Genomic DNA, 20,183 nt, shown 5'->3' with positions numbered 1-20,183 from the left:
AACCAACCTGACTAAACAGGAGGACAATCATGCAATCTTTTAATTTGATCATCACATAAATGTTTATAAAGCACCTAGCATGTGCTGAAGCTAAACCAACCTAGTCTCTGTCTTAAAGTGTGTACCAAGTAGGAAAAGAGAGCCTTGTCAAGAGATCAATGTGATACCTTCAGATAATGCTAAACGACGGAGGAAAATGTTCAGTTTCACCCCATGTCGTCAGGGTCAGCTTCTAGGGACCAGGGTTCTTGGGTGGAGTTTTAGGGCAGGGAGAAGGGCAGAAGTGAGGAGGGCCTTTAGGGAAAAGACAACTTCATGTGCAAGGATTCAGAAGTGTGAAAGCTCCTAAGATTGGAGAATTACAGCTTCAGCTGGAAGGAAAAAGTTGGGTGACAAATGACACCCTGTCAGACACCTTCCAATGTGAAAGTGGAAGCACATTCCTTTTGCTGCTGGTGATAGTGCCTCAAATTTACATTTTGTGTTAATATGACTTCATTTACATAATGACTTAATATAAAGAATCTCTTAGATGTTGTCTAATTGTCCTCTTTCTCTTGCTAACCCCAAGTCTGAGAAAGTCAACATAATGACCTTTTTTTTTTTTTTTGGTATGAGGCAAAGAAATCTGATTTGATATTTTGCTGTGTCAACCTCATTTTAAGATCACAACTTACATCAAGGAAACAGTATAACAAGAACACTGAAGATACCTGGAATCTGCCATCTTCCTTTTCTTAGCCACAAAAAAAGCTACTTTGTATATTCCCTCTTGTATTTGCCCACATGCATATATATTTTTCTGGTAGACATAATGTACATACTCTCTATCACCAGTTTTTCCATTGATATTACATAATTGTCAGGGTTTTTGCTTCCCAGAGTATTTTTAATTCTAGTCTTTCATAAATGCCTAATATTCTATAGGATAGACTTTGGAAAATAGTTATGCTTCAGTTTTTAAATAGTTTAGGCAACATTGTAATGACAATATTTGTGTATAAAGATTATTTCTTCTGTTAGATGTTTTCCCTAAGAGCTTCAGTAACTCTTAAGAATTTCTTTTTTCCTCCCATTCATGTACTTCAAATAACCATTTCAGCACAAATTTTTAATTCATTTTACTTTCTTCATATAGCAACCTTACTAATGCATCAGTCCAAAAATCTTCTTTATATAGTATGCTGTAATACAATCCCAAGAGTCCCTCCCATCAATATAACTGTGATGTGTAGGAATGCAGCAGCCCAGGCTATGGAAATATTTGGCAGATTATAATGGCCATAAAAAGTCTTTTCACCCTAAAGGTTTGAAGCCCCTCTCTATTGTTTCCTAGCTTTATTTTCTTTGAGTTTGTATCTTTCATCACCATAATTCATCATAACTCATTCTATACTTAGTATTCCTTTAAATAATTTTCTTGTTTCAGTGATGTTATTTACCACTTGATTAATACCCCTCCATCCTTCTTAATGTTTGAAATTATTGTGTATTTGTACCCGCCTCCTGCTTCTTGGTGATTCTTTGACATTTCTTTATATCAATAAGTTGGTTCCTAAGGTCACTGAAAGCTCTTTTTTTTTTTTTGCTGCAGCATACACTTAAAATATGACCCAGCAATTTCACTCCTGGGTATTTACATTAGAGAAATATTCATGCAAAACAGGTACCTGAATGTTTATAACAGTTCTATTCATATTCATCAAAAAACTATTTAGAAACAACCCAAATGGCCTTCAGTGGGTGAATGTATAGCACTGCGGTATGTCCATACAGTGGAATACTATGCAGCAACAAAAAAGGAGCTATTGATACACAAAACAAATTGGATGAATCTCAAAGGATTGATGTGGAATTAGATAAGTCAGTCATACTCTATGATTCTACTTATATGACAGTCTTGAAAAGAGAAAACTATAGTGATGAAGAATAGATCAGTGGTTGCCAGGTGTTAGGGATTGGGGGAGGGCGTGACTACAGAGGGATAGTATGAGTCTAGGGTAGTGGTATCACTGTTCTGTGTCTTAATTGTTGTGATGGTAACACAAATCTATGTATGTGTAAACATTCATAGAAATGTGCACCAGAAGGTCATTTTTATTGTAAATTTAAAAAATATAAAAAGATCCAAGTTTCCAACCAGGTGCAGTGACTCATGCCCGTAATCCCAACACTTTGGAAAGCCAAGGTGGGTGGATTGCTTGAGCCTTGGAGTTTGAGACCATCCTGGGTGACATGGCTAAACCCTGTCTCTACCAAAAACAATATAAAAATTAGCTGGGTGTGGTGGCACGTGCCTGTAGTGCCAGCTACTTGGGAGGCTGAGGTGGGAGGATCGCTTGAACTGAGGAGGTAGAGATTGCAGTGAGCTATGGTCACACCACTGTACTTCCAGCCTAGGCAACAAGAGCAAAACCCTGTCTCAAAAACTAAAAATTAAAATTAAAAAAAATCTTAGTTTCATCAAAGTGGTCATATGTCCTTTGGCAAGTGATATAACCTTTCTAAATCTCAATTTATTTTTCCTATAAAATGTGGAAAATACTCTCTACCTTGGAGAGGCATTCTAAAGATGAAATAAGATGTTATAAACGATCTCCCTGACATACTAGATGCTCCTCTTTCTCTTTTCCATGGCAGCTATTTCTCACTGAGAGCAGTTTATTTTTTATTATTATCATCACCATGCTTTTTTACAGCTATTTGGCTCTTAGGTAACAGCCTGGAGCCACTGAGGGTTTCAAGCAGGAAAGTGACATGATCTGATCTTCATTTTTAAAAGACAATTTGAGCAGCTTTGTGGAGAGTGGTAAGGAATGCAGGAGGGTAAGAATTGAAACAAAGAAGCCAGTAAGAAGTGTTGGGGTTGTCCAGGTGAGAGATGACGGTATAGACTCCAGTGGGAGCCATGGAGTGGGGAGAGGAGAAGCGGGGGGTTTATTTTGGGAGAAGGTAGAACAAAGAAGCTTGATGCTGGTTGAGGGGTGAGGAAAGATAGATGGTGATGTCATTTACTGAGATGAGAACTCAAGGGAGGAGCAAACTTGAGTGGGTGGGTTGTGGTCAGCATTACAAGTCAAGAATTCTGTCTGAGCATGTTGGGATTGGAAACCAAGTAAGCAGTTAGACCAAGGAACAGGCCAGTGTTATCTTGTTCATTACTAGGACTGCAGCACACAGCAGCGGGGGCTTCCTCATCAGCCCTTCCAAATAAGGCTGGGGGAACTTTGAGCTGCTCCTCCTTAGACTCACTCAGCCTTGACGATTTTTAAAAAATTTATCTCTTTAATCCATTCCTGAGAGGGATTGTAGAACCTTCTACCAGAATTTAGAGTATGCTATTATTCTAAGTGAAGTAACTCAGGAATGGAAAACCAAACATTGTATGTTCTCACTCATAAGTGGGAGCAAAGCTATGAGGATGCAAAGGCATAAGAATAGCACCATGGACTTTGGGGACTCAGCGGGAAAGGGTGGGAAGGGGTGAGGGATAAAAGACTATACATTGGGTTCAGCGTACACTGTTTGGGTGATGGGTGCACCAAAATCTCACAAATCACCACTAAAGAACTTACTCACGTAACCAAATACCACCTGTTCCCCAAAAGCCTATGGAAATAAAACATTTTAAAGAAAAAAAGGACTCAGATTATGCTCATATTAGTCACTGCTGCCAGATTTTTTTCTTTTCCATTTAATGAGATTTAAGGAAAGGAGGCATGTAGCATTTTCAAATACCCAGCCTGAAAGTCATCAATCGTATTATGTAGGATTGAAAAGTATTAATAAACTACTGAGAATGATGACAAATGTATGACACAGAATATGCTAAGAGATTATATTCCAACGTATTTTATTATTTCTGTTATCTTCAAATTTCTAGTTTTGCTACAGACAATGAAAGAAATTCCATACATACTTTTCCTTGATAACTACCAAGTCCAATTTGATAACTACCAAATAGCTATTTCCTTTGGGAAGGCAGGAACGGGCATGGGATTTGGGAAGGGGTATTGAAGAAGCCCCCATTGTATCTATAAAAAGTTAAAATTTCATAGAGCTGGATATAGGGTCAGTGTGTTCATCAGTCATCTGCGTTTAAAAATATTTTATAATTTAAAAATGAAAAAATGTGTTGTTAACATATAAATAAAAATAATTTTAAAATCTGAACATAAAAGACAATGCCCTCCTTCCACTCACTCCACCCTCATTAATCACCTTAAAGAGTGATCTCTTGGGTTTTTCTCTCAGAAAAATGTAATTACTTTGTAATGAAATGTTAATGTTATGTTCTATTCTTAAAGTTACTTGTTACAGTGATGAAGCTATGACTTAATAGAGTTGCTAAGTTTTCTTCTAAGTCATTCTTCTTTTAATATTTTATATTTATCAAGTGAGCTGGTGATGATCCAGAACTTTTTTGTTGTTTTCACAAATATAGGACTATCTCAGCAAAAACTCATCATCAGGCTGTTAACTTCAACATTTTCGAGGGCATGGTTTGCCACGGGGTGCCCCTTGTGACTATTTCAAGAGGCAAAGTGGTATATGAAGCCGGAGTGTTCAGTGTCACGGCAGGAGATGGGAAGTTTATTCCTCGAAAACCATTTGCTGAATATATTTACAAACGAATAAAGCAGCGAGACCGGGTGAGTGTGCCACAGTGGGATACTGCCACAAGTCGGACTGTCTCCTGCTTCTGGATGTCTGGCTGGTTATTGTTGGTAGTAGTGGTGTTGACACATCACACTTGGTTTAATGTATTCCTGGGGTGTCAGGATTGATATGAGAGATTAGAGATGCCAGTTTTTAGATAAAGGATCATTATTGGATGCACGCATTTCCCCTTGCAGACTGATAGGTCAGTTCGGGATTTCCAGATTGTGGGGTAATCTGGTGGGGGCTTTTGGCAATTGTGTTAGTCAGGGTCCTCCAAGAGGCAGACACCAAGATGGATAAAGGTGTATGAGTTTTATTAGGGGAAACACCTGTGAAAGAAACTAGGAGGTGGCTGGAAAAGATTGGGAGAGCCCTCAGATTGCAAGTTAAGTCTGAAACCAGTAAAGAAAAGAAAGAGATAAAATGGGTAGGAGCATCCTGGAACACCCTACAGTCTAGGGGAGGCTGAAAAAGGCCGTCAGGGAGTCCTTGAGCCAAGTCTCAGATCTCCCAGCTACAGGCCAGGCCCAGTCATTGGCTGAGAGCCACTGTGGGAGGTGTGACCTCTGTGTAAAAGTGTAATGAAGTTCAGAGGTCAGCAGCAGCCCCTTGAAAAAATGTGCTCCCATTAGTTGAAGATCTGCAAGGTCAGTTTTTATGACCACCAGAGCAATGGTGGAGTTTTGGGCTGGAGAAGACCTAAATTCTCTCTTGCCCTCGCCACCATTTCCTAGCTGTGTTGCCTTGAGCAAGTTTCTCGATCCTCCTTGGGCTCAATTCCCTCATCTGGAAAATGACAACAATGTTTCCTTCCTAACAAATTGTGACACTCAAATGGGTTTTTTTTTAAATGAAAGGCATGGCCCAAAGCAGTAGCTCACCACACCTGTAATCCCAGCCCTTTGAGAGGCAGAGGTGGGAGAATCACTTGAGGCCAGGAGTTTGAGAACAGCCTGGACAACAGAGTGAGACCCCATCTCTACAAAAAATTTAAAAATAAAAAATAATTAGCCAGCCATACCAGTGCACTCCAGCCTGGGCAACAGGTTGGTAGGAGGTCAATAAATGTCACTTTTGTCTCTTTGCTTTCCCCTTTTGATGACCAAATCTCTATCAAAGACCCCTGTTATTATAAAAGAGATATTGGGGCTTTCACACAAGTTTTGTTTAGTTCACACAGAGTTTGAAATAGTTTTAAAATTTTACTACACCAAATACACTAAAATATTTGAGAATTTTAGATTTAAAAAATCTAAATTTCTGGATATGGGGGCCGGGGAGGCAACCCTGTGTCCTCAATCCCACATGGGTCCAATGGGCCAGAGCTAGATGGCAGGCCCCTAGCTAGGAGGTATTTCTGGTTTTCACCCAGAAGGCTTCACACATTACTTGCCTGGCCATGTAGATGGTAGTGTTTGCCACCCTTGGACTAGTTCTAAGGCTTCTCCCTCTTCTTTCCATTTTTCAAATGTACCTCTCCTTTTCCAGAGCTCTCTGGCTGTTTTTTTGATTCAATTCATTTGGATCTTGTAGAGGCTTTGGTTTCTCCTTTAATGTCTTATGAAAAATTTTTACTTGTGGATTCTCAGAGTCCATTATGCAAGATTTATCCATTTTTAAACACTTCCTAAGGCTTTGATTAGGTAAACAAGTTTTCTCACGTGCTTTAAATTCTCAGAAAACTGCAGTTCTTTATATGCTGTATTTATATGCTCAGTCAAAATAGGTGGTTTAAGGTTACAGTTAATATTTCTGGGGAGTTAGTTTATAAATGTTAACATTAATGGGTGACAAGTAGGTGGTAACTATAAGAATCCTAGGATCCTCGGTGTTTCTGAAGATGTATGTGATAAATAACAGCAGCACTAACATTTAGTGAGTGCTTACTGAATGCAAGACACACTGCTAAGGTCTCTGTCACTATAATAACCCTGGGAGGGAGGGAGGTATTTTTTTCACTTAAAATTAGAGAACTGGCCAGGTGTGGTGGTTCACACCTGTAATCCTAGCAGTTTGGGAGGCTGAGGCAAACAGATTGCCTGAGCTCAGTAGTTCAAGACCAGCCTGGGCAACATGGCAAAACCCCATCTCTACTAAAAATGCAAAAAATTAGTTGGGCGTGGCAGCGCACCCCTGTAGTCCCAGCTACTTAGGAGGCTGAGGCACGAGAATAGCTTGAACCTGGGAGGTGGAGGTTGCAGTGAGCCAAGATCACACCACTGCACTCCAGCCTGGGCGACAGAGTGAGACTCTGTCTTAAAAAAAAAAAAAAAAGTTAAAGAGAACTGAAGCTTCAAGAAATTAAGAAATTTGTCCAAGTCACACAAGCAAGTGTATGGCAGAGCCAGGACATAAACCCTGCTTATATGATTCCAAAAACTTTATCCTTAAGTAATAATAGATGCTGTAAATTATAAACATTGAGTTAAATGAAGTAATGAAGGATAAGTTACTCAGCGTTTGTTTTGTAAAGTCTCTCAAGGAAAAAATTAAGTTGGAGGCACTGATGGCAGCTGCTGCATTCATGAGACTGTAGCAGTAATCTAGGAGATGAACATAGAGGGTGGATTTAGGATATTATAAAGTAGTAAAATCAATAGAACTGGATGATAGATTATGTGACGCCTGAAGTGGATCCAAGGTAGGGCCAATCTTGGCATCAGTTCCAGTTGCTTCCAGAAGGGGCGCTAGACTAACAGGGAACCCTGATAGACCATATTTAAATGCTTGGCTTTGCCTTAGTCTTCTTGTAGAGAAAACGTTTTGAGGCAGCAGAGATCATCAAATCACTGGTTTCATCAGTTCTCCTTTGCAAATTGTTTTGTGATTTTTTTGGCAGAATTAATGCCAACTGAAATTTTTATGAGTTCACTATCAATTCTGTGAATTATTTTAGTTTCTTAGTATTTTTTTCTGGTATCAAATTTTTAGGCATTTTAGTGCATCATTGTTTTAAAAATACCAATAAATGATAGTTATCATGTGCTGTTTTGAGCACTATCTGCCAAGCTCTGTACTAAGTGGTTTATATTCATTATTTTACTTAATCCATAAAGCAAGCCAAGTGGTAGGTATTATTGTTCCCATTTTACAGAATAGAAAGCTGAGTCTCAGTAGGATTAAGTAACTTTCCCTAGGTTAAGCATTAAGTAAACCTAAGAGCCAGGATTTGTGATAAGGTCTTTTTGATTCCCACTGTACCACTGGACCTCTGTAGAGACAAAAAAAAAAAAATAAAAGGAAGAAAATAGTCATGAAACCCAAATCATGGAGAAATGCCTTATTCAAAAAATGTTGGTGTGGAAAAGATATTAAATAAAATGGATAAAATGAAATGAGGTTTGGGAACTGTCTGGAGATGGTTCCCTATGGCATTAGGCAAAGACAACTTACAGGATAAAAATATCACATGAAGGTTAAGAAAAAGAATCATAAAAACTCTAGATTTTTAAATTCACATGAGGTTATCAAAGTCCTTGCTTTGGTTTTCATTTCAAATATTCAGATTTCTTTGTGAGTGGGGATAAGAGTTTGAGGGCAAGCAGGAATAGCAAATGCTATTTCTTTGCTTATCTGTTGTCCCTACCAAGAAAATTAATCACTTCCTATTCTGGACTCCCAAAGCACAGAGTACAGAGTCACATCAGCATTTGTCAGTCCCTGAACTCAGCTGGTCTCCTGGCTAGAGTTAGTTCCTTCAGAGCAGCATCTTATTCTTTTTTGCCAGTACTTGGTACATAGGTGGCATCTGGTAAATGAATAAACTGCACACAGAAGGAGCAAAAGCTATAGTTTCAGAGATGCGTAGAAGGAAATTTAACTAAATTTACCCAGCAGATTACCCCTGCCTTATTTCAAATAGTGGGATTATCTTGTGAGAGCTTGATTTTTATCTATGATTTTATTGCATAATAATAAAATTTGTCAACACCATACCATGCAGCTATTACTGTTACTGGATCTTTTGGGAAATTTCAAAGGAAAGAGAAGACGTTTTTATCTGATTTGACAGCTTTGGAGAATTGTTAATTTATGTATTTTAAAATGTAGACAGCTGATCCTAAGGGAAAATATTGAATCAGAAGATAAGCCATCAAACTTTATTTGATAAATATAACATAATAGAATATATTTCAACTTCAACTTCATATAAAAGTTGTTTAAGGAAAGAAAAGCAAAAGAAAAGAGGGAGGGGAAAAATGTAAGAGCAACTTGGATGTTCAAGAGAATCCTGACTGAGCAAAACTACATATTATTAATTGTTTACAAAAAATATATAGCTCTTTAAGTTAAAATGGATTACGTTTCTTGAATTTTTGTGTGTTTAGAGTGTTATAAGTTCCAACAAAATGTGAAAGTACAGACATTTGTTAAGTCATCTGTTTTTCTCTTTTTTTTTCAGTAATAGGGAACCCCAACCTTTTCTGGAAAATCAGGATCACATTGCATTTTATAGAGAAACAGGAATAGCTTCATGGAGTGATGTATGGTTTCAGAATACTGCTGCCAAAGCTTTTAAACTGGGTTGTATCTTTGCAATGATAAGCATAATTTGCCTTGTAGATAAGATAAAATTGAGTGGATGGCTGCTTTGGTCCTTGAGATGGGTATTCTCCATTTCTGAAATAACCATTTGTCAATGTCTTTCTCAAGGTGGTAGCTCAGAGAAAATAATTTAAGACATATCACTTGCCATATAATCCTAATTTCTTCAGGTTAATCACTACCAATACAAGGTAATACACATGCTGGAGTTGGCTCATTTTGGCTCACAAGAGACATATGTACGCATCTGTGCCCAACTCTTCATTCAGTGGTGTCAGTTTGGTAGCTTGAAAACAGCCAGAGAAGGAGTATTTACACCACAGAAATAGGCAGGTGCTTTAAGTTAGGGCTTTAAGGATGGTGAGGAAAAAGGAAGGTAGAGATAGTTGTTAATATTTACCAACACATCACTACACACAGGACACTTTCTAAGTACTCTTTTTCATGCTTTATCTAATCAATCAACATCCGTTCAGTAAATATTTATTGATCACCAGTTATGTTCCAAGCACACTTTAATTCTTTCAACAACCCTTGGAGGTAAGTAGTGATATTCCTATTTCATATATTAAGAAATAGAGGCTCAGGGAGCTCACATAGTTACCAAGTGGCAGTGTTGGGACTCAAACCCAGGTTTGTCTACCTCCAAAGCCAATCCCTTTAACTTGTATCACTGCAGTATCCTAACCATAAACTTTAATCCCTACTCAAACAAATAGCCACCCATTCCCCCATCCTTATGATATCGCTCCCTCAGTCTCCCCTCTGCACAGAGGGTTCACTTCCTCTCGGACTGGCAAATTTACCAGAGGAGCCAGCCCTGAAATGAGACAGCCCAGCTTTGTAGCTCACAGCATTTTGTTTGTTTGTTTGTTTATTTATTTATTTATTGCTTCAAAATCTTTCCCTCTCCCACTCCAGCCAGGATATTTTAAGGATTAAATTGAGATATTTGGTAAATTGTAAACATCATCAAAATGCCAATCTTCATTGTTATAGATCACCTCTGTTGCACCTAGGGCTTTCTCATGTACAAGTGATTCACAGAGCCCTGGGTAGCTCAGTTCAATGTGTGCTGAGTGCCCTCTACATTCACCAGGCCAGGCGTGGATTTCATTCTCAGGGAGTCACTGTTCATTTGGTCTGCTTGCTGTTGACCCAGCATCTGCTGTTTGGTATTTGGAAGTTCTGTTGTCTTTATTGATATTTTAGTATCTTAGCCTCCATGAACAGCATTCAATCATTAATACCTTTGGGATTCTTCTCTGTTGATCTTGCTAATTTCAGAAAATCTAGCATCCAGCCAGGCGTGGTGGCTCACACCTGTAATCCCAGCACTTTGGGATGCTGAAGCGGGTGGATCACCTGAGGTCAGGAGTTCAAGACTAGCCTGGCCAACATGGTGAAACCCCCTTTCTACTAAAAATGCAAAAATTAGCCGTGAGTGGTAGTGCATGTCTATAATCCCAGTTTCTTGGGAGGCTAAGGCAGAAGAATCATTTGAACTCAGAAGGCGGAGGTTGCAGTGAGCTGAGATCGTACCACTGTACTCTAGCCTGAGCAGCAGAGTGAGGCTCTGTCTCAAAAAAATAAATAAATAAATAAAAAGAAAAAAAAAAAGAAAATCTAGCATCCCAGCACATTCCATCCTCAGCAGTCAATATGATTAAATTTTCTTTTTCTTTTCTTTTTTTTTTTTTAAGAGTCTCACTCAGTTGCCCAGACTAGAGTGCAGTGGGATGATCTTGGCTCACTGCAACCTCCACCTCCTGGGTTCAAGCAATTCTCCTGCCTCAGCCTCCCAAGTAGCTGGGACTACAGGCGTAGGCCACCACACCTGGATAATTTTTGTATTTTTAGTAGAGACGGGGTTTCACCATGTTGACCAGGCTGGTCTTGAACTCCTGACCTCAAGTGATCAGCCTCCCTCAGCCTCCCAAAGTGCTTGGATTATAGGTGTGAGCCACCATGCCCAGCCCAATATGATTAAATTTACTATCAACTTATGTCTTCCTTTTTCCTTGGTCATGTAACCAAAAGGCATTTCTGCAGTTATGAAAGTGTAATGATAATTGGAATTAATGTTTATTTATAGAACCACAAATTATATAATTTTCATTTCTGTCTCTCTATTAATTTGTCACAATGACAAGTATCATCAAATACTGAGAACTCAAGTTCAATTCTCATTTACCAAAGTAAACCACCGATGTCCTGCTAGGTGAGGTGCCACCTATGTCTTTTGTATTACTTATTTTTTGTGCTTGCTGCTATAACAGAATATCTGAGGCTGGTTAATTTATAATGAACAGACATTTATTGGCTGACATTTCAGGATGCTATGAAGTCCAAGAACGAGGCGCTGGCATCTAGAGAGGGCCTTCTTGCTGTGTCATCCCATGGAGGAAGGCATCACATGGCAGAAGGGCAAAGAGAGAAGAAGGGAGAGAGCCAAAGGGGCCAAACTTGTCATTTTATAAGGAATGCACTCCTAAGATAACAGCATTAATCCATTCATAAAGGCAGAGCCCTCATGGCCTAACCATCTCTCAAAAGTCTCACCTCTTAATACTGTTACAATGGCAATTAAATTTTAACATGAGTTTGAGAGGGGACAAACATTCAAACCACAGCAACAGCCTCTCATGTGGTTTTACCCTCAAGCCATTTTATTTGATTGTGATACCATCAAGATGGAAAGAATTGCTGTCAAGGTGTGATCATCTAATCTTGACCAGCATGTACTGGGGGGAAAAAATACCATAATCAAATTAGCCTTCCAACAGTGTGTTCTCAGGACTTGAGTCTCTTGAAGTATTCCTTGAGAAAGTTGTCAAATAATTTTAGATGATGTTACCCTCAGGTGATACAATTGCCCAATATCATAAAAAGTTTCAAGAAGTCCTATAGTCAAGAAATCTCCCTTCATTTAATAAATGTTTGTAGATCACCAGGCACCATTCTAGATGCTGAGGATATAGGCATTAATAAGACAGCCAGTCTGATCACAAAGAGCTTATATTCTACTTGTTTCAAACTGTGGTTCATGGTGCTTAAGTTATAGTTGTGTTTGAGCAATTTTACACCTCTTTGTGCTGTAGCTAATGAGCACAAAGGAGATAAAGGAGTCTGGAGATCAAGAGACATCAAAGCTGGAGATAAAATTTGGGAGCCATAACATATAGATTTAAAACCGTGAGTCTTAAGGTCACCAAGGAAACTATATTAGAGAAGAAAGGGGGCTTAAGATAGAGCTCTGGGCCCACCAACCTTCAGAGGTGGAGGAGAAGAGCAAGCATCAGTGGAGTCTGAGAAGGCTGACCAGTGATGCAGGAAGACCATCAGGAGAACATGGAGTCCCAGAAGGCGAGAAAAGAAACCTGCTGTCTTTGTTCAATCCAGAGTACTCTGTTTCCTCATCCTGGTTTTTCTATGTGTTTTATGCTGCATAAATGTCCTGTAAGAATTAGGTATGCTTTTAGCCAGGAGAATAGGGATGGAGTCTTTATTATCACCATATTCATCTGGGATGCCAGAGAAAGAGGCTCACTTTATTTTGACCCTGACTGCTAGTGTCAACTACATGCATTAAGCAATGGCTCTGCCATATGCTGGGGTCTGTGTCAGGCTGGGCAGTTCCTACTTCGGACAGAGGTTTGCCATCATCATTAGAGAGAAGGAATAAGACAAGGATTGCTAAGAGTTGGAGGTTAAGTCTACTTAGAAAACAAATGTGCAGCTGAACTTCTGAATAACAGCAGTGATGGTTTCAGATTCTGCAGAAGGAGTGCCATCACTTTTCCATTTTGTCACAGTGAACATCTAGTGATGTCCTAAAACATGCCCAGAGAACAATGCCAGAAGTGACAGACAGCACAAAGATGAAGAAGGCATGAGTCTAGCCATCATAGAGCTTATGTAACCCAATTCTAAGGATGAGCAAATATTAAAAGGTTAAAAGGGCTGAGAGGCTTGAGAGTAGAACTTAAGTTGTCTTTGATTTCTGTCAACTTATCTATCAAAAGGAAAGACTGTGGAGAGTGAGACAGCACAGGACTCCTGACAGGAGGCTGCTTGTTTCTGAGGTGGCCGTGCACGCAGGTGTGGCTCCCATCCATGGCCATTCTGAGAGGAAAGCAGACCTGGCCCACCCAGAGCCTCAGAGGCAGGCAAGAGAGAGAGAGGGTGCAGGTTAGACCCAGCCAGTCGGGTCAGAGACATGTGATGGTCAGCGTGACCAGGGTGACAAGCCAGACATGGCTGGCTCCATGACTGAACAGCCAGAAAGCAGTTTGTAGACAGCCAGCCACAGAAAAAGTACAGCCCAGGCCAGGCTCAGTGGCTCACGCCTGTAATCCCAGCACTTTGGGAAACTGAGGCAGGTGGATGACTTGAGGTCAGGAGTTCAAGACCAGCCTGGCCAAGATGGCGAAATCCCGTCTCTACTAAAAATACAAAAATTAGCTGGCCATGGTGGTGTGTGCCTGTAATTCCAGCTACTTGGGCGGCTGAGATATGAGAATCGTGTGCACATAGGAGGTGGAGTTTGCAGTGAGCCAACATTGTGCCACTGTGCTCCAGCTTGGGTGATGGAGTGAAACTCTGTCTCGAAAAAAAAAAAAAAGTACAGCCTGGAGAACAGATAAATGATGCAGCACAACAAAAGAGCCTGACAGAAACGGAGTCAGCCCACGCCAGGCCAAACCACAAAAAGAAGAAAGCAGGCTTAGATGGGAAGCCCCCTTCATAGCTCCCTCCCCAAAAATCCCTTCTACCCATATCTATTGAGTGCTTGTTATGAAGAAAGAGAGCAGCACACCGGCCCTCTGTCTGCTGGGGGAGACTGACGAGTGAACAGATTATTCCAGAAACCTGGGGTAAGCAAGATAGTGGATAGGGGACAGAGGGCCAAAGCTTCCTAGACTGATGATTAGCTGAGCTGAGTGATAAAAGAGAAGTCAGATAATTACACAAAAATGAAAGCGGCAGCCCAGCCCATGCAAAAGCATGGCCCTGACCGGAAGCTACCAGGAAGGATTCTGATGTGCCTGGCCTGGGTGGTGCCTGCTCCCAGAGCCTGCAAGCTGGGTTCTGGGGAAGCATCCTCTAGGTGATAGAGCAGGCTGTAGAGCAAGCCCTGTTCTGAGTGAGGAGGACAGGCCCTGTGTGTGATGGCCCCACCTGAGCCACTGGCATGGGCAGTCAGTTCCCAAGACGGAGTCCAGGACAGACAAAAAATGAACAGCTGAAAAGTGCAAGTAGTGTAGGTTCAAGGAAGTGGTGTAGGAAGAGGGAGACGGAATGGGATCTGAGGAGGGCTGCACAGCACACAGTAGGCGGCACAAAAGTCTGCTCAGTTAGGTCACATGCTCCAGAGGCACTCACTGCAAAAGAGCCTGAAGATTGAACTGAAATATACCATCGGCTTTGCTGAGTATGAATGCCAAGAGGAGCAGAGAGAAGTCAAGCCCTCTAGGTGATAGGCAGGAACGAGCTGAAAGAAGGACATAAATCTTGGTTTGCTCAGACGGGCCTGGATTATACTTACGTTAATTATGTTTAGTGCCCTTTTCATGCTAAGAAGTGTCCTACTTTGGATGATAAATTGTACAGTCACCCTAGGTTTAAGTGATATTCAGGCAGTCTGGCTTGGAAAGTCAAGTCAGGAGAAGAAAAAAAAAAAAAAAAAACAGGGACCAAGGACCTGAAAGGGAGGATGTGGCCAGAGAGTGGGGTATTAGTGAGTTTAAGGTTTCAGATGTGGTGGTCCAAGGTGGTAGAAATGGGAGGCTGGCCCTTCATTTCCTGGTGTCTGTGTTCCTCAAGATGAGAACAGGGCTCAAAGACTGAGTAGACAGTGAGCCAAAATGGAAGTCCAGCAAAGCATTTAGACAGATACAGAAAGTGAGCAGAGGCTTGGCCTGGTGAGGGAAGGGCAGGAGTCCCCCCATTTCCTGAGCACTCAGTGCACACCCGATGCAGTGCTTCAAGTTCTGTGGCTGCAGGAGCTGTGGGCCTTGTTCTGTGTTGGATCCTCGGTGTTTGGTGTACTCTCTGGGGCTGTGTGAGCTCAGTAAATATCTGCTGAATGAATGAAGAAAATGCTTTGGCTCTGGAAATTCTCCACTATCTGAGAGATAGGTTTATTTCCCCCATTTCATGGATGAGGAAGTAGGCCTGGAGGCATTAATTAACTTGTCAGTTTCCTATGCGTAGTAAATGGCAAATGGAGAATTCTAACTTAGATCTGTCTCACTTCAAAGGTCACACTGTTGATCACTACAATGTATTAGTTTGGGTGGTCAAAATGAGACCCACAATAATTTGTTATTTGTCTGTGTGTATGTGTGTGTGTGTGTGTGTGTGTGTGTGTGTGATTTCAAAACTCTGCTCAAGCACTGACAGCTCTCGCTGAATCCAGCAGAGGGTTCTGCTGCATAGTCGGTCACCAACGAGGTGAGATTCTGTGGAAGATCCATAATGCACAGAGACAGGAAAGTGGAAAGCGTACCCAATTGCTAGAATCTGAAGCAACTGCTCTGAGAGTGTTAGGAGAGGTACAAAGAAGCACTGCAAACTCAGGTGAGTAGGACTGAAACTAGAAGAAAAGGTCGGATGTTGGAAAGGACAGCAGGAGACAGTTGTGGGACTCAGAAGGGCGTGAGGATATGGCAGAGGCCCCAGTGAGTGTCCCTGGGCCTCTGTCTGAGGCAGATTAATACCCACAAAAAGTGGGACAATCCAGATTCTCAAGGTTGCCAGGAATTTCCGTGAAAGGCCAAGGGGATGGGGAGGCACGTGATAAATTTATAAGATTCTTTTTTTAAAGCTCTCGCAATTCATAAAGGGAGCTACACTTAACTTTGAACTCAAGAAAATAAACCACAAGAGAGAAATGAAATGTTCTCTTTCAGACTTGCACACCTACCCCTGTGGAGCGTGCACCCTATAAGGGAGAAGTCGCCACACTGAAATCCAGAGTGACAAAAGAAGATGCCACAGCAGGGACCAGGAAACAGGCCCACCCCTGAAGTGTGTGCCATCGGTAAGGGACTGTAGGCAAGAAAAGTCTTCCTGCATGACAGCATATGAAATTAGCATCTCTCCTCATAAGGGTTGAAGAGATCAAGGTCAGAGGCTTCACAGTGATCCAAGACTCAAGGACAATTGAGCCAAGGGAAGATTGATCAAAGCAGAACATTTAGATAAGCCTTCCAGATTGTAGAAGGCCTTGGGCTTGCTAGAGAGTCATTCTTTAAGATGTTAGGAAACATTCAATACAGCCTTGGATAATCAACTATGAGCAAGTTGCACTAAGGAGGCTGATAACATACAGAGGGAACTACTTAAGACAGGGAGTATAATTTCATGGTCAAAATTTACAAATGAATTAGGACCTTATCTGGAGAAATGAATCTTCATATTGTAAATACAACGGTGTTCTAAAATTTAGAATAAATGAAAAATGAATAAAATGTTGCTTTAGGGGATATAATCCTTCAGAAAAATTCTTTGATAGTATCTGATTATTTCACAGTTAGTTTTGGGAATAATATTACAGATACAGTCATTTTTGCAAAAGTATTTGAGCACTTCATCAGTTTTCTCTGTCTTTTGACATGCAGATCTTTCTTTTCTGAAGTGCCTCGTATCATCATCCTTGTCAATTTTCTTTCTTCAGTTGTCTTCTGGTCCTGCTCTCTCAGATCCTCATTTAACAGCGGCTTTGCTGTAATTTTAGCATCTCCCTAATATCACTTCCACTGACTTCATGAAATCTACATGTTTTGCCAGTTTTGCAATTTTGCTAGGCTCTTAATTTTTTTTTAACGTGTGATATCTTTTCAGACAGTTCAACACGTGGCCATCTGCACAAGACTTAACCCCAGAGGTTGACCTAATGGACCTGGTTAGACATTTGTGTTAATGAGAGGCACAGTTTGACAACGGTCTGGTTTTCTACATATTCAGGCACTGCACCTTTTCACATTTTGACAACCTCTTATTCCCTGCATAAATCCTGTTCCTGCAGGGATTTGGATAATGAGGGCTTGAATGGCAAAGCCCTCTGTGCTACATGCCATGTTCTTTCATTATTGAATGTTGTGTCTTTAACAGGACTATCTAGCCCAAAGTCTCAACATTTTTGTCATTTTCAGACGACCAGAATTATTCTTCTAATCTAGGATGATTTTGTTAAAAATTCAGGGAAAGATTAGCAAGAGAAAGGAATGCGATTCAATGCTATAACATGCTATTAATGACATTTATAGGAGCAGGATTAGTGTTTACTTTGATTATAGCATTTCTTGGGGGTTAGGTTTGAATTCTGCATCTCTTTGTGAGGGAGAATGTTACAGTGAGTTCCTTTCATTCTCTTCAAAGGTAAAAAAATCAGAGGAAAGGAGGCTGCCATTCCCTTCACAGCCAAACATTGTCAACCCATGGAGAAGCAGGCCTTATTCAACTCCCTAGGATCCTTTAGAAAAAATTCACCACTATAGGCTTCTTTGATTTTCTTTCAGAAGCAATTGCTGTCTTTCTCACTGTGTTTTTGTTGCTGCATAAGATTGAAGGTATAAATTTATATTATTGTGATGGAAAGGCTGTGTGGAAATTCATTGATGATACTTTAAAATGTCATCTTTGCTTGTACTAGATTTCTTACTTAGAATTTTTAAAAATCATTTTCTTGTTTAAATAGTTTCTTTTTTTAAAAAAATGGTTACATTAGTTTTAAAATAGCTCTGTGATTTTACTTTTTATTGTAATTAATAAACATTGAGATCTTCATTTTATACCTTATTATCTGATTTATTTGTATCTCCTTCTAACTAGTGGGATTGGGATTCTAGGAGGTTGGTTTTCATTTGAGAGCATGAGTCCTGGCCACGTCTCTTCAGCAACTTTTGGAAATCTGGTCTTGGAAAACCCACCTAATCAAATTAGATGCTCAAGTTTAAAATAAGTCCAAGGCAAATTATCCAATCACAATGATGAATTCGAGATTTGAGGGAATTAAATGGAATCAGCATGGCTGAAAGAGGCTGCCTTAATACCTTCCTTCCCCCACACTTCCTAGTCTATGGTATGATCCTTCTGTGTGTGCAGAGAAACTAAGCTTAGATTTCTTCTCCTAGGTAACTAGGTCAAGAGGGATTTTTAAAAGATGGAATAAAATTGGGGCGATTATGCTCTCCTTGCAGGTGCATCTGCCCCCAGCATACTCACTTAGGAGTATATTTGCACATTTAACAAAGGGTAGTAGAAATTCAGTTTACCCAATTGTGATTTGTTTTGAGCACAAAGAGAAAGGACGGTGAGCTGCATCTGAAGAAAATCCTTCTGGTTCAATCAAACTACAGCTCTTTTTTCTCAGGTTAAGAGATACTTCAAAATATTTATTTCTCTTCTCTGCTTTGGTTGACAATGGAAAGTCTACAATAAGACTACTGAATCCTGTCGAAAGAAATATTTAAATTGCTTTCTTACCCAGAAGTCAATTCCCACTCATCCTTTGGTATTTAGCTGTAATAGCACCCCACTAAGAGCCTTACCCAGATCTGACATGCTCCTCCGTAGGAGGCCCAGCATACACCCATCACCGTGCCTTATCTCGTTGCCTTATAATAGCTGTTCTACTTGTCTGTCTCCTCTAGGAAACTGAAAGCTTCTTCAGGACAGGGCCTGTCTGGTTCACTATTATTTCACCAGCATCTAGCAGAGTACCATGCAATTGATGGGTATTCAATGGATATTTATTAATATTCAGATAAGGGAGGAAGTGAAGGAGTTCCTGTTCAGTTCTCAAATTCATAAAGTTAGTGAGAACTCTCAACAAAATAGGGACAAACTTTGTAGAACATTTTCATGTAAGGCTGCTTTAAATGGAGAGCACAGGTCATTATCTATTTGATAGATCTGTTCGGGAGAATAAAATAGCTATAGGATTCTGCATCAATAAAGACATTTGAAATGAATGTGGAAATCCCTTTGTTGCTTTTATTAGATTTTGTCGCAATATTTTTATGGAAAGATAGGTCTAAATAATAATATAAAGCAACAGAAAAACATGATTCAAGCTATTAATATTTAATACCATAGTTTTCAAGGCTGCCTCACTATACAATGAAAGATTTGTCACTAAACAATTGCATTTTTAAGGTCTGCAGAAAGAATAGGTGGAATGAGTAACATTCTTTTTCCATATTCCCCTTCCATTGCCTCCCTCCTCCCCTAGGTACTGTGATGGATTGGGAGGGAACCATGTATTCATGGTGGGGCCTAAACTTCGCTCCTCTATTTACTAACGATGAGGCCTTCAGAAATTTTTAAAACTAAAATATGAGATTATTGAAATATATAAAAAGCATCAAAATTAACATGACCACATCTCTGAACCTATCACCCAGTGTGGAAAATAAAACTTTACCAATACAGTTGAAGTCCCCTGTGTTTCTCTCCCTCTGATTTGCCCCTTCCTTCCCCAAGGTAGCCAGTGTCCTGATCTGCTGTTTTATTCCAGTGTCCATCATTTATACATTTTTCTTTTTTTTTGAGACAGAGTCGCCCTGTCACCCAGGCTTGAGTGCAGTGACTCCATCTCAGCTCTCTGCAACTTCCGCCTCCTAGGTTCCAGTGATTCTTGTGCCTCAGCCTCCTGAGTAGCTGGGATTATAGGCTTCCCCTACCACATCCAGCTAATTTTTGTATTTTTAGTAGAGATGGGATTTCACCATGTTGGCCAGGCTGGTCTCAAACTCCTGACCTCAAGTGATCCACCTGCCTTGGCCTCCCAAAGTGCTGGGATTACAAGCATGAGCCACTGCACCCAGCCTATACCTTTGCTATGTATGTACATATTTCTTTTTTTTTTAATTATACTTTAAGTTTTAGGGTACATGTGCACAACGTGCAGGTTTGTTACATATGTATACATGTGCCATGTTGGTGTGCTGCACCCATTAACTCATCAT

The 20,183-nt window shown here is 40.3% G+C and overlaps 1 protein-coding gene across 7 annotated transcripts in view; it reads left to right on the top strand.

The window, feature by feature from the left end:
- DPYS (dihydropyrimidinase) overlaps nt 1–18,005 on the top strand; it is an 87,625-nt gene extending 69,620 nt beyond the window's left edge. For 4 of the 7 annotated variants that reach the window (XM_047421418.1, XM_006716518.4, NM_001385.3 and 1 more), the window contains 3 exons: nt 4,445–4,652; nt 16,122–16,252; nt 17,593–18,005. In XM_047421418.1, coding sequence (XP_047277374.1) covers nt 4,445–4,652; nt 16,122–16,238 — 325 coding nt within the window. In that variant the 3' untranslated portion in view covers nt 16,239–16,252; nt 17,593–18,005. Of the gene's footprint in view, nt 1–4,444; nt 4,653–9,064; nt 10,576–16,121; nt 16,257–17,592 lie in introns of those variants that run through there. The other 3 variants (XM_047421415.1, XM_011516903.4, XM_047421416.1) reach the window with 3 other exon arrangements.

The sequence above is a fragment of the Homo sapiens genome, chromosome 8 (genome assembly GCF_000001405.40).
Source record: "Homo sapiens chromosome 8, GRCh38.p14 Primary Assembly".
Taxonomy (NCBI): Eukaryota; Metazoa; Chordata; class Mammalia; order Primates; family Hominidae; genus Homo; species Homo sapiens.
The sequence above is the reverse complement of the archived record's forward strand: the minus strand, read 5'-3'. Positions and strand labels throughout refer to the sequence as shown.